Source organism: Homo sapiens, chromosome 5 (genome assembly GCF_000001405.40).
Source record: "Homo sapiens chromosome 5, GRCh38.p14 Primary Assembly".
Lineage (NCBI taxonomy): Eukaryota > Metazoa > Chordata > Mammalia > Primates > Hominidae > Homo > Homo sapiens.
Window position 1 is genome coordinate 145,845,771 of NC_000005.10, and position 15,632 is coordinate 145,861,402.

Here is a 15,632-nt window from a genome sequence, read left to right on the forward strand (position 1 = left end):
AATCTCCACTCCTAGGAACTGGCAATAGAACAGCCATATGGCACAGATTGGACCAATGAGACATGAAGAGAGGTTTACTGGGGGATTCTGGAAATTAGCTCCCCTCCCCTAGATATGAACAAGGAAATGCCCCAAGCTGAGGCTAGTAGACATCCTATGGGTAGATAGCCTTGGTTTGATGTCATCCCTGTGATGAGAGAAGCCAATAGCTGGGGAAAAGTTGGGCTTTCAGTGAACACTGTGGAGATCCTGGACCCACCATTCCTAAAAGACACACTCTTTCCATTGCCCCATACTAACAAGTCCACTTTGTTGTTTAAGCTACTTTGAGTTGGATTCTGTTACTTGCAACCTAAAGAATCCTAATTGGTAAAAATCTAGCAGTCTATATTTAGCTCCCCTGGAGATGTATTTTCTAAAATCAAGCCATAGCAGGAAATACTGTTGGAACTATGTTGCAAATTTCTGAAAGACGGAACTCGGTCTCATGTTTCTTTGTATATCTAGCACTCAACAAATACTAAATGCTTAACACCTCGTGCAATTCAGATAAGATAATGTGAAAGTAAGTGTTCTGGCAGTAGAAGCTGCTACTCAAATAAAATAATAAAGGAAATAAGCTCTTAATAATAACAGCTAAAATTTATTGGGCACTTAATATGTGGCAGGCACTATTATTTGTGTAATTGCTTTGAGTAATTTATGTGTATTAGTTCATTTAACTCTTACCACAATTGCCAGGTATAGTTATTATCCATAGTTTACAGGTTGGGAAGCTGAGGTACAACACATTTACTAAGATATAGAACAGTAGTTAGATAACTAATGACTTACAAAAATAGAATTTTAAAGTCTCATGCCTCAACCAGTAGGTCTTATTTAAGCCAGTTCAAAACAAGATTGTGTTTCATCTTCTAGACAAAATAAGAGGGTGAAAAATATAGATTTGCTTAGTTTTTTACAACATTTTAATATGTCATGTTGATTTATAGATTCTTGGAAACCTATTTTTTTCATTTTGCTGCAGTCTAAAGGTTATTGTAGAAGCATTTAATAATACATACTTTTATTAGCCGAATCTGTTATCTTTACTGTCTTACTAAAATTTATCTACTTGTTAACCTAGACATACTATGCCATGTATCTTTGAGCTAAAACCCCCAATATTCAAATCTGTATTAGTCAGGGTTCCCCAGAAAAACAGAATTAATAGGATATATAGAGAGATACATAACAGGGATTTATTTTAGGAATAGGCTCATATGGTTATGAAGGCCAAGACGCCCAATGACCTGCTATCTGCAGCTATGAGCATCTCTTAATCCATTTAAGTTGACACATAAAATTAACCATCACATGTTCCCATCTTTATCTTAAAACCAGTAGATATCCAAAATAGGTAGTATTTACTGTTGCTTCTTTCAATAAATATTTCCTGGGAGCCTACCCCATTCTAGGCATTTTTCTAGATGCTGAACAAACATCAATGAACAAAACAGGTAGAGTTATTGCCCTTAAGGAGCTTACCTTCTAGTGAGGGAAACAGACACTAAACAAATCATCACACAGGTAAATACAAAATTACATATTTTGCCTTGAAAGAAAAATAAAAGGAATGCTGAGAGAGAATAAAAGGTGTATCTAATTCAGTTTCCGTGTGTGCCCAAGGAAGACACCTGAAGAAGTGACACTAAACAGAGACTTGAAAAAAAAGACCCATAGATGTCTTGTGTTTTGTCTTATCCAACAGCCATTCACATTCTTCTATAACCATAGCCCAAGTCTTCCTGGAGAAAATACTCTACCACATTCTCAGCCTCAGTGTTTTGGAGCTATTTCTTCCATCTCTGGCTGCTAGGGTGGGGCCAAGACCTAGGCTCAGCCAATCAGTGTATTTCATCTCCCTAGCCACAGTAATGATTCCGTTGATTCAGGGATGACCATATGACCTCTGTTAGGCCAATAACAGCAGCAAGGTTCCATTTAGAATCTTTGATCTAATCTATCAGGGAAGCAGATTATCTTCTTCACTGCACTGAGTCTTGTAAAGATACAACCTTGACACTAAAAGAAAAGAATGACATGTAACTGAAGGACACCTTAGTCAAGAAATATATCCTCTTGCCATCATTTAAACTCTGATTTAAGTTCTGCCTGACCATATCCACCCATGAACTGTTCAGTCATGAGTCACCACACATTCCCTTATGCGTAAAGCGTGGTAGTCATTAGTGCTAGTCATTTTTTTTTTCTTCTGGTTCTGCTCCTCTGGACATATGGTAGGACTGCACTTCCTCAGTCCTTGAAGGTAGACGTGGGACTTGGTTTGGCCAATGAAATGTGAGCAGATGTAATATGTGTCACTTTGGGGCAGAAGCCTTTAAGAGCTGGGGCACACTCCACCATGTTTTCCACCCCTGCCATGGCAATCAAATAGATTCCAAATGGTGGGGATTCGGTCAACCTAAAGATCCTGACTGAGCGTGACATGGAGCAGAGTTCCCCATCAACCAAGATGCAGAAATGAAAGCACTGACATTTTAGAGTTGTTCTTTACCACAACATAACCTAGCTCATCCTGACTTATATTTACCAGTTTCAATTGTTTTTCTGCCTTTTGAAGCAGAAAAAGCCCTAACTCATATAATGAGTACAAGGAAAGTGGTGAAAAATAAAAGAGAAAGCATTCCAGTGAAGAACTTATGTGAAGGGAAGCAACTGAATTGGAGGAAGAAATGGAATTGGAGGTTGAAATGGAGAAGACCTGTTTTGAGGCTATTGCAGTGGTCCAGGTGGTGTTGATTATGTCTATAGTGTTAGGAAACATAGAAAAGAATAGATAGATTCAAATTTTATTTTAGAGAAAGAAAATGATAGGAAATTATTTTTCTCTGCCAAAACCCATTGTTTCTCACTTTGACTTTATGTTAAAAGGTCAGGGGGCAGAATGGAAAAGGCATAAGCTGTGAATAAGGAGACTCCAGTTCTGGGACTAAGTTGCTTAATAAGTAGGATGTGACCTTGGACAAGTCTTTTGCCTGCTCAGACCTTCACTTCTTCAGCTCTGTGAGCAAGGGGGAACTTACTCCCCCAACTTTAGAGGTGTCTCTCCTTTTCCTTTAAGCACTGACATTCTATGGAGGCTAATCATAGGAAGCTACCACATCAAAACAGTTGAATGGGATACATGTTCCTGACTCAATTAGGGAAATGCAGGAATGATAACCCACAAGACCTTGCCATAGTCTAGTCAATTTGTGAATGAAGAGAGTAAAATAACACTCACTGACATGAGGACTAGAAGCTTTTGATTATGATTTTGTAGTGGTGGTTTCTTTAACAAAAGCGTCTGGAAAATGGCCAAGATGGTATATGTGACACATTGTCAATGTGACTCACTCTGACTTGGATTCAGACAGACTCTTCTACATCAGATCTGTTCCTCTACATACAGCAATCTGAGATGCAGAAAAGGTAACCAACAATATTTGACAAGGTGAACTTCACAGGCACTTTATCATAGCACTGTTCACTATAGCAGAAATTCCCAAAAAGTATACTTGAGGTGTTTTGACACAATAAATGAACAAACATGTATTCTTGGTAGTTATTCCCTGATTTTGCATTTTAACTACTGGAATGTTCATTAGCTTAATGTCACACCTGCCCAGTTGGTGAGTTTGAAGGAATAACTAGATGTGGCCATCAGTGGATGAATAGATAAAGAAAATGTGGTATATGTACACAATGGAATACTATTCAGCCTTAAAAAAGAAGGAAATCCTGTCATTTGCAACAACATAAATGAAACTGGGGGACAATATATTAAGTGAAACAATCCAGGGATAGGAACATAAATGCTGCATGATCGCACTTACATGTGGAATCTAAAAAAGTTGAATTCATAGCAGAGTAGAATGGTGGCTAGCAGGGGCTAGGAGTGAAGGTAAGGATTAGGGAGATGTTGGTCAAAAAGTACAAAATTTGGCAACACAGTAAAACCCCATCTCTATAAAAAATTTTAAAAATTAGCCTGGCATGGTGGTGCATGGCTGTAGTCCCAGCTACTCGGGAGGCTGAGGCAAGAGGATCACTTGAGCCAAGAAACTCAAGGTTGTAGTGAGCCATGATCTCACCACTGTACTCCAGCCTTGGCAACAGAGTGAGATCCTGTCTCAATTTTTTTTAATGCAAAATTTTAGTTAAACAAGAGAAATAAGTTCAGGAGATCTATTGTACAACAAAGTGACTGTAGTTAATAACACTGTATTGTATACTTGAAAATTGCTGAGGATAGATTTTAAGTGTTCACCACCACAAATAAATGATAAATACACGAGGTAATACATATGTTAATTAGCTTGATTTAGCCATTCCACCACGTATGCATATTTCAAAATAACATATAGTACACCATAAATATATATCATTTTTATTTGACAAAATAAGTTAATTAATTGATAATAATAACAAAATTGAGTATAGTAGTCAGTCATTCACTCCTTGTACTTTTTGACTCTATCTCCTTCAGGAAGGACAAATTCCGCACTGTTCTTGGCTGTGAAATCAATAGCACTCCACTGCAGGGAAGACCTACGGGTGTACATGTCTGTCCACACCTGGGATTTACTCTTAAGGAGCCCATAATTGTCCAGCACCTAAGCCGCATCCCCCAATCCAACTTTCACTAGTAATGAAGCTACTATTTTGAGCTCCACCTTCCTGATTCTCATCTATCTGTCAGATGGTGCAGAACTTGAGTAAGGGAAAGTAACATTTATTGAATCTATTCAAATCTCAATACTTATATATTCATCTTAATGTGCACTGGAACAATATATGACCAGTTAATTAAACCCTGCAATTTCACAGAGATTATTGCTTAATAGGAAGCTAAGTATTTTAAGAGGTTCAATTTAGTTGATTAAATAAAAATATTAAGAAAACAACAATACAGGTGGTACAAAATTAGAAATTTGGCAAATATGGCAAAAAAATATGAATTATGTGAATGACAGAAGTTTATGAATTACTATACCAAAGAGGAGAATTGATAGAAGTCATGTCTTAGCTCAATCCAGGAGTTTCATCATACTGAAAAGATTGTCAATTCAGGAGAAAGATCTGTAGTTGATGAAACCTTATAAAGTGTAAAAAGTATGGAATAGCAACATAGTAAGTTAAATTGGAAATATCAGTGTGAAATAATAAGCTTAAGAAGAATTTTTTCAGCTCTGAGTGGCCTAACAGCCACATCAATAGCATTCTGGCTCAGCACACATTCTCATGTGCAACTCCCAGAGCCCAGCTCCTGGACTTTACAATTATTTCCTGCTAAAAGGAAAAAGAATTCCTTGGAGAATAGCTAATTTCATTATTTAAGATGGAAAGAAATCAGAACATTTCTTCAATCTTCTATTGTTGCCAAAAAGCAAGAATGTTTTCAAGAACATCAGGGACAATGGTTAAAGAATAAGGGAGCCAGCATACAGGGCCCCTCACTAACTATATGGTGACAATTTTTAAAAATAAAATTTTTATTATAAAAAAAAGCACATATGCCCCCAAAAAAGTCAAATGTAGGCCCAGGTCAAAAATATAGAACTTTGCTGCCCACCCCATAAGCCCCTTCCCTGAGCCTCATCCCAACCACATCCCCATTTCTTTCTGCATATCGTCACTCAAATAGTAATGACTTCATTGTCGTTTTTATAGTATTATCACCCAAATGTGCACTCCTAAACACTGTAGTTTAGTCTCTCCAATTTTTTAAAACAATAATATGCCTTTTAAGATTAAGTTACAACGTGAGCATCAAAATCACTATTCCCACCACCATCATCATTACCACCACTATCATCATCATGAATTATAGGAAAAAGGTGAGTCTTATCAAAGGCCATGAATTCAAAATAACTCAAAACAAAGATGTTAATATGAAGTCTGTGCAAAAGGTCATTGTAATAGAAAACAGTTAATATAATAGAGCATACTTATTTTCTTACTGATTTTAACAATGAAGAGGGCTTGATATTTCTTCCATTAATTTTATGTGTTTATGACACATAGTCATCTGTCTCTCTCTGTCTGTTTAAGGAGAATAAATGTTGGGAACTGTAAGCCAAAAAGACTATTCAGTTTGAGTGAACACTGACAATAACCCACCAGAAAGAAGGTTTTGCAGTGTTTGCCAATGTAATGAATTACCAGACGACCTCTAGAGGAAGGCTAACTACTCACTCAATCCTCAACTCCTAGGAGATTAAATCTCAGTGCTAATAAGGAAGGTGTCAGTTTTTAATGCTAAGAGACCAAATCGATATTTGATTATGACAGGAGAATCAGTTATGTAAGAACAGCCAAGTGATAATTACAAAAACAATTTCAGGGGTAGATAGTAGGTTGCAAAATTAAACCCTAGGCATAAGATAAGGCCTGAAATACTCTTGCTGACATAACAGATATCATTGAACTATAGAAAAGCTTACTATAAAAAGGTGGTTTAGGTTAGAATCACCTTGGGAGAAGCAACAAATGTAACCAAGAATTAATCAGTCAATAAACCAAGTCTTGCAATCTAGGCTGTTCTGATAAGATAATCTTTTCTTTGGGCCTTCTAACAATCGTGTGACCCCAGAAAGAAATAAAAATAACAGTACTGAAATCCTGAGGGTATATCAAAACAAGCATAGAAAAACAAGCACAGAAATAAGAAAAGCATCAAACCCACGATATTGATGCCCTAAAGTAGATTTCTGTGAAACTATAGCAATATATTCTGTAGTCTTTGTTTCTATAAGTTTGTGAATTACGGTTTTGAAGTGTTTAAAAGGGTTAGACATTCCAAATATATAATTGCAGTTTGTTTAAATTGTTTACAGTGGTTTGCTTAATAAATTTGTGATCAGTATTTAAAGGCCCCAAGAAAAATTGGTTGTTAGTTTTTGGTGTTAGATTTATGAGCTTAATAAATTGAGCATTAAACAAAGAACAAATGGTTGCTAGTATTCTTCTCCATGAGAAAAACCTTCAGATATATAAGGCTACATCAACAAAGACCTGGACAGAAGATGGTCTTACCTTGTACTGGTTATCTTTTCTTATGTAATAAATCATCCCAAAATTTATTGGCTCAAAACAGCATATATTATCTCACAGTTTTGTATCCCACAGGTCAGAGATTTGGGCACAGCTTAGCTGAATGGTTCTGACTCTAGGTCTCTGATGGGCTGCAATTAAGTTGTCAGCTGGGGTTGCAGTCATCTCAAGCTCAACTGGGAAAGACCCTGTTCCAAGCTCACTCACGTGGCTGTTGGCAGGATTCCCTTCCCAGCAGGCAGCTGACTGAGGGCCTCAGTTCCTTGCTGGCTGTTGGTTGGAAGCCACCTTCTGCTCCTTGCCACGTGGACCTCTCCATAAGGCACCTTGCAACATGGCAGTTGGCCTCAACAGGTGAGCAAGCAAAAAGCCAGAGAAAGAGTCATGATCTTTGACAACCTCATCTTTGAAGTGACATCGCATCACTTTTGCCATAGCCTATTGTTAAAAGTAAGTCACTTGGTCCAGTCCACACTCAAGGGGAAGGGATTACACAGGCCAGGAATACCAGGAGGTGGGGATCATTGGGAGGCATTTTAGAAGCTGCCCACTGGTGAAATTTTCACAAGGCATTGGCCCATGAGACAACAATACACTGAGGGCTCTGTATGTGCAATTAAGGGTCATGTCTCTGCAAACACCAAACCACCACATATTTATAGAACACCTTCTATGCACCAAGCACAGTGTAGATGCTGGGGATACAATGATGCATGGCCACAGTTCCTGCCCTCAAGAAGCTCAAAGCTGAATGAGGGAGACCAACAATGAAAGGAGAGTTAACCAATCTTTATCCTCTTCCCCTCCTATGGCATGTATTATTTTATTTTGCAAATGTTCGTTTAATTCTCTAACTCCCTGTGAGACCATGATGTCCTTGAGAGAAGATACTATGTCTCTTTCATCTGTGTGACTGCTTGTGACTTACACATGGCCTGACACATAGGAGGCCTTCAAAAATTATAACACTTTGAACCTAAGAAAGCAGACATGGTCAATTATCTATTAGTCATCTATACCTTAGTGTGAATTAATGGCCCTAATCTTCTGGGAAATAATCACTGATGGAGGAAAATGTGTCTGGGAGCTGGATAATAGGGATGCTAAGGGGACTATACACAGAGGAAACTCATAGTGTAAAAGGAGATAAACATAGATTTTCATTTTGTCAAGGTCTGATTTAACTGCCCCTTTCCTCCCTCCTTTCCCCAACTCTCAAGCAATAAGGAAGTTCTACTGTATTATGTTTCTAGGTCTTTTCTTCTCTTGGTTTTATGTGTTCTTTAACACACGCAGTAATTATATGCCATAATTCTGACACTGACATAACTCCATTTCTCTCTCACATAATTGCATGAATGTGACTCTCTATAATTACTGTGTTTAATTAGAAAATGAGGACATGCGACTAATGAGGACAGGTGATTAAAAAACAACTGCGAACATCTCTTTCAAATTTACCTTTAGCATAAAATTCACTCCACTTTAGCATAAAATTTAGCATAAGCTCTAGTGAACCACAGAATTTTTTTTATAAATGTTGCCAGCACTCATCTAAATGAATATATTACCAGAGCAATTTATATTTGTGGAAGAGTTAGACTAGGAAAATATCATCTTACCTATGAACTGAAGCTTAAATGATGTCTTTGGCCAGTTAAATTTGGAAAAGTAAAGTATGGATCACAAAGTAAATAGTTAACTCTGTTTTCAAAAATTTTAAATGTACTGTGCTCTCTTTAGCAGGGATCTTACCTGGAAACCAACATGAAAACAAGGAAGAAAAGGTAGAGTTGCTATAGGGGCAAAGGTTTAAGGCCTGTGGACTCTGCCCTTCCCGCTGCACAGAGCCCCTTAGACAGGTAGGGAGGGGAACATATTGCCATTTCAAACCACAAGTGTCCTTCAAGGAGGGTGGAGTCTGTGAAAAAGAAGCTTCCTGGTCTCTGCAGATCTTTGTGTGTGAAGAGTAGATAAGCCTTGAGGCTGAGCCACAGTTGGAAATAGGAGCCATAAAGATGAGTCACTCTGGCAACAGAGTAAGAAGAATAAGGGTCAGCTGGGATGGGAAGGCAGAGAGGGAAGGAGGAACCAGCAGAAGGGTGCTAAGTGGCTGGCACAGTCTGCAGAAGTCTTGTGAAGTCCTCTCATTACTATGATGCAGTGTCAGTCCCCTGGGTAGATCCCCAGTTTCAGTACAGTTTGTTGCACCCACAAAGGCCTAGTAAGGCAAGATGTTTGTGAGGATCACAGAAAGGGCCTGTGTATTTACTCTGGGTGAGCACGGCATGGAAAGGAACAGTATGAGTGAGACTAAGAGATGGTCAATAAACTGAATTAACTCAACTTTAAGACAATTTAGGAGCTGATTAAGTGTGAACTGCTTAGAGCAATGCCTTACGTGCAGTTAAGGCTAATATGTGCTTGTTAATTTAAATAAATGCATACATAACATTCTTTAACAAACACAGCCCCCAAACCAGGCCGATCTAACTTGACCTCAAGCAGACAAATGAAAGTTACTAGAGTAAGTAGCAAAGGGTAGCTATAGTGTCCTCCCCAAACTGTGGGCCGAAATTCAGTTACTATGTGAACTAGAGGCCCAAGACTGTAATTTCATTAACGATAAATACTAAATCCTTTTTCATCTTTGTCTTCTGAGGACCTAGTACGAATGTCCAGAACATAGCAGAAATCTAACAAAAAATTATTCAATGAATAAATGAATGGATGTTACATTTTTAAGACGTATTTATTAAAAACTTTTTTGAGCTTTCTAAGGATATAGTATTATTTTAATCACAGCATCATTATGATGATATTTTTTAACCTTCGTGTTTGTTTCTAGCTCTGAAGGGATTCTTGTAGTCTTAGTGGAGTACCAGTTGGTTAACCTTGTTTAAACTTATTCCTAACCCTGCCCAACCCACTGGCAAATACTTATAGTTCACAAATCAGGAAGTGGATGTTTTGGTGCAAACTTGTCTCCAGTAATAGGCAAAGAACTCAAGTATGTATGTTTTGCATACGAGGGGTCATAGCAATATTCCTGAGTTCAAAGGACGGTAAATAGAGCTTGTGGTTCTAGCTTCACAATATATCCATTGTCTGACCACTTTTTACCACATCCACTGATACCACACTGGCACTATTAGCTGCCACCAAGATTATTGCAATAGTCTCCTAGCTGGCCTCCCATTTCTGCCCTTGCCAGTGGTGTCTCCTCTCAACACAGCAGCCCGAGTGGCCTGTTAAAACATAAATCATCAGACCATGACCCTCCTCTGCTCCAGTCGGTGCCCAATCAAGAAAACAGAAACCATTCCAGGTATTTCCAAGAGAGGAAATATAGGGAATTGGTTACAAAGATTAGTGACTGCAGGTAGCCACTACCACCCCTAGGAAGGAGGAACAAAAGGGAAAATGGTGTTTCAGCGAGCCCACAACCAGAGCCAGTAAAGCAGCTACTGGTGGAAGCAAGCAGCCGGCCAGCATTCCTAGCTGCTGCTGCTGCTCCTGCAGCTGCCCTATGGGAAGGCCGCCGGGAACCCGATTCAAAAAAAGGAAGGCTCTTCCTCCCTCTCCTCTCCCAGTGTCCTGGCGCACCTAACAGGAAGCCAGCGGGCACGGGGGGTCCGGAAAGTGTAGTTTGCACGTCTCCTGCCCCAGCAGCAAGGGGGCGGGGGGTTGAAAGGGAGTGCGGAGGGCGGTAGCAGAAAGCAGGCTCTATCCACAGCAGGCCCTCACTCAGAGTAAAACCCGAGTTCTCATCGTGGCATCTGAGGGAGGCGCCCCCGCCGTGACACACAAGAACGAACTTTCCCTTCAGACGTCATCCCCGCTGCTGTCTTCATGCTCACCCAGACCAGCCACGCGGGCTCCTTCCCTGTTCTTCAAAGGTGCAGGCGCTCTTCTTCCCGACTCTAGCATTTGCTGTTTCCTCTGCCTGGGATAGTCTTACGCCAGACACCTTCCCAGCTCACTCCCTCAACTCCTTTAGGCCTTTCTTTAAATGACACCTTTTCTTATTTCTTATTTTTATTTTTAATTTATATTCCTAGACATCAGTCTCAAGCTGATAAATGGCACCTTGTCAAGGAGCCTCCCTGCAAGCTAATTTAAAAATTGCAACCTATTTTTTTTTTTTTACACGGAGTTTCGTTTTTGTTGCCCAGGCTGGAGTGCAGTGGCACAATCTTGGCTCACTGCAACCTCCACCTCCCGGGTTCAAGCGATTCTCCTGCCTCAGCCTCCCAAGTAGCTGGTATTGCAGGCATGTGCCACCACGTCTGGCTAATTTTTTGTATTTAGTAGAGAGGGGGGGTTTCACCATGCTGGTCAGGCTGGTCTTGATCTCCCGACCTTAGGTGATCCACCCGCCTCAGCCTCCCAAAGTGCTGGGATTACGGTGCGAGCCACCGCGCCCAGCCTTTTGTCCTTTTTAACACCACTATACGTTACATATATGTGTGTGTATATATGTAATGTATGTGTTATATATATAGCTTACTATATATAATTGTATATATTTTGTTCTATAGGCTATACTTATTGCATAAACATATATATTATTCCCATAAATCTATATATTTAGTTGTCTGTATTCCTTCACCAAAATTTAAGCTCGTAGGAGCATTTAGTTTGTTTTGTCTACTGATACATCCTCGGTGCTCCATAAATACTTGTAGATAGTCAACAATAACATACTGTACACTTAAAAGTTCATTAAGAGGGTAGTTCTCATGTTAAGTGTTCCTACCACAATAATAAATGAATACTTGTGAAATGAACACAATAAATATGATCATTAGTAGGTTATTTATTATGTGATGAAAAACATTAAAGGCTCTTTACAGAAGCTGAGGTTGCTCACACTTCTTCCTCTGGGCAACCTGCATAACCCCACTAAGGCTTAAATTAGATGCCCCTTCTGCATGCTCCAAATGCTCCCTGTAATTATCCTATCCCAGCACTTGTCACAGTGCATTGCAATTATCCATTTATGTATCTATCTCCTCCTCTAAAACTAAGTTCCATGAGATACCAAAGGGATGATGCCTCTCTGGGTAACATGATACATCAAGCACTTTGGAATACTGTCCTGTATGCAGCGGGGCTCAAACAATATTTGTGACGGAATATTCCTGTCGAAAAGCAGAATAGAGCCAGGCGCGGTGGCTCATGCCTGTAATCCCAGCACTTTGGGAGGCCGAGATGGGCGGATCACCTGAGGTCAGGAGTTGGAGACCAGCCTGGCCAACATGACGAAACCCCGTCTCTACTAAAAATACAAAAATTAGCTGGGAGTGGTGGCATGTGCCTGTGATCCCAGCTACTCAGGAGGCGGAGGCAGGAGAATCGCTGGAAGCCGGGAGGCAGAGGTTGCAATGAACAAAGATTGCACCACTGCACTCCAGCCTGAGCAACAGAGCGGACTCTGTCTCCCACAAAAAAAAAAAAAAAAAGCAGAATACACTCTCAACATCCCTCCTTCCTCTAGTATTCTGAAAAGTCAGAAGAGCCAACAGCTGTGAGAAAACATAAACAGAGGCAGGAGGTATAACAGTTAAGGACAGAAGCAAAGAAAGCTGGTGAGCAATATGGTAACTCCTGAGTATGAAAGGACAGGCAAAACTATCAAGGCTTCAAAAATATTTTAGTCTTTTTTATTAGAATTATTTATATTGCCTGAAAAGCATTCCATTGTTAAATTATGTTAAACGCTGAATATTAGAGAATAACAAACAAATCTTGAGAAATTATTAAGTTATGAAATCAAAATTATTATCACAGAATGCAGCAGGTCTCAAGAGATAAATTTTGCAGTGTTATTCTTAAGGGGCTTGGGGAGTGGGTGTTAGAGCTATAAAAGTTCATTAACAAAAGTATGTTCTAATTTTATAACCAACCTCAAGAGGAAAGAATCATCCTTACTATGCATATTCATGGATAGTAGAAACATTACTGCTAAAAATCAGCCTTGGTTAATTTTTTTCTTTTAGAGATTTCCAGTAGGTAATCTATAAAATACCTGCAGTCCTTTATGAAGAGATCATGGCTAGGTTCTAGACTTAAAGTGGATTTATTTATTTGGTAGTAATTCAGGGGCTCGAAGAAGTTATATCATACACACATATTTGAGCACCAAATTTATCATAAATAACTTTGACTTGGCTTATAACCTCAGTAGTTAGAGGCACACAAAAATGTCTTATCTCATCTTGACTTAAGAAATAGTATTGCTCACTGTCTGCATAAATATTATCCAAACACACCACATGGAAGAGGTTCAGGACTTTGAAAGGGAAGGCTCCTTGGCTTGCCTGTCTCCACAGTGAACATCCCATTTTGCTTGCTGTGGCCTGCTAGTGCGTTCAGCGTTGGCTGTCCGTTTCCTCTTCTGCTTAATCAGAAATTCAGTTTGACTAATAATCACATGAGATGCATTATAAGCAACAAGAAATCAGTTCATCAGAAACCTGCCTTTTTTACTCCTTTCTCACCACATAATTTTGCAAAATAACTCCCAACCTGATGCCTGAAGTGTACATGTATTTGCTCACTGAAGCAAGAAGAAAACTGAGCTAAGTCAAGTGAGATACACTCACACCATCCTGGAAGGATAATTTTAGAACCAGTTTCAAAGCAGACTATAATTCAGAAATGCCCCTGCCACTTAGACCCACAGAGAGATGTTACCGGCCTCACAAAATGTCATCAGATAATTGAGTTTTGCCAGCAGTGGGAGTGACTGCAGCCACTGTGGCCTCCTTGTTGGGAGAGGCAGGAGGAGGAGAAGGGGGCGGTTTATTAGAAATAACTTTAGGGAGGGTAAGATAACAGTGGACATGCAAAAGCCACGGGCTATTGATTGCAAATCTGGCAAGGCTGTAGGCCATTCTCATTGCAGGCAGGGCACCTCAGGGCCCGATAGGACTCCTTAAATCTGTTGGCCAGCATCGAGAACTTGCTGCCGTGGCACAGAGAGCAGGTGGCACTGCCCGACCCTCGGCAGTGAAAACAGCTGTCCTCGGGAATATCCCCTTCCTGCAAGAGACAGGTTAGGGTTTAGTTAAAGCAGCAGTTCAAGTCCGTTGTTCACATGCAGGTCAAAACAGCACTAGACTACAGCAAAGGCTGGGGCAGAATAGAGGAAAATGCTTCCCACGAATGTCAGTGAGAGAATCATCTGGGACCCAGAATAGTTACAGCAATTTTATCAGAGAGGATTCCCCTGGTGGACACCTCTAAGACAGCATCCTGTGCCACCACACTTTGCATTCCAAGACTTCATGATCTTCATTGCCCTTGTCACTATCTCTGACCTGTTTTTTCTGTAAGCTCCATAAAGGGCAAGGACTTTATTTTCCTTATTGCCAAATACTACAAGTGAACCCTTGTAGCATGCCTGATAGGTGCCAGGTGCTGTTCTAAGTGCTTCCTATATATCATCCATCTAATCCTCACAAAATCCCAGTGAGATAGTGTAAGTATTATTATCCTTGTGTTGCAGATGGGAAAATGAGATACTGAGAAGTTGTTTGCCAATGGTCACACACACAGCTTGAAAAAGGAAGAGGTGGGCTCTCATCTCAGCGATTTGAGCACCAGAATTCATGCTCCTAATGCCTATGTGCACAGCCCCTCATTGTAGTTGTCCATAGTAAATGCCCAAGACTGTTCTGTGTGACTGAGAGACTGAGTGGAGAAATGAATGAATCGATAAATGTTACAATCCTTCAAAGCTTAGCTCTGTATGCTTGCAGTACTTATATCTTTATTCTCTTTGAGAGCTAAGGCCCAGTGATTAAGAGCTCTGTACTTTGGAGTTAATAGACTAGGACTGAGGCTATTGTCTGCCATCAGCTGTGCAACTTGAATAGTTCCCTTAGCCTCTCCCAATCTGTTTCTTTATTTATAGAATTGAATAATAATGCTTACCCTTCTGAGTAGCTGGAACATTAAATGAGAGAATATATGTAATGCAATATTATCTGTCAGATCATAGGTGCACCTTCTCCTAAGCCTTGCTAACAAATCTCCAGTTCTTGACTCCCACTCTTCAGAAAATGTTCCTTGGCTATTGTCTTGCTCTCCCCCTTAAAGCTATCTTAAGGAAATTGGTGATCTTGGTACTCCTTATAGACTATGAACCTTCCCAGAAATAAGGGGAGATACTAGATCGAAACCTGCTAAATTCAGTACCAAGTCCTGGCCATTTCAGCTTCTGAAAATCTCAAATCCATCCTGCTTTCTTCATCCCACAACTACAATCCCAGCCCAATTGCCCACTGACTCTGGCATGAACTGAGTGTGGACCCATGCCTCTGGTCTTGTGGTATGTTCTTCCCACTGATGCCAAGCTTATTAAGTTGCCTGCAGTAGTGATTGTCACATAGAAAGCAATCAGGAAACCTTTTTAATGAACACTTGCCCTCCAGATAAAACCTCAGGATAAAACCCAGTCTCCTTAGCCGATTTAAATTTTTTGTCACTTCTTTCATCAGGATCTTGTTCATGGGCCTCTCTGTACT

General features: G+C 39.9%; 1 protein-coding gene across 2 annotated transcripts in view, besides 1 other annotated feature; it reads right to left on the minus strand.

Moving 5' to 3' along the window:
• Nucleotides 8,788-9,387: a transcriptional cis regulatory region, noted in NCBI's record as "candidate enhancer chr5.3602 targeted for multiplex CRISPR interference". NCBI's record gives its function as "positively regulates PRELID2 gene expression with high confidence in K562 cells {active_cell/tissue: K562}" and the evidence as "EXISTENCE:mutant phenotype evidence [ECO:0000015][PMID:30612741]".
• Nucleotides 11,900-15,632, minus strand: part of GRXCR2 (glutaredoxin and cysteine rich domain containing 2) — a 74,004-nt gene continuing 70,271 nt past the window's right edge. The window contains exon 3 of one of the 2 annotated variants that reach the window (XM_017009708.2): nucleotides 11,900-14,145. In XM_017009708.2, the coding sequence (XP_016865197.1) occupies nucleotides 13,963-14,145 (183 nt within the window). In that variant the 3' untranslated portion in view covers nucleotides 11,900-13,962. The remainder of the gene's footprint in view (nucleotides 14,146-15,632) is intronic. The other variant, NM_001080516.2, reaches the window with a different exon arrangement.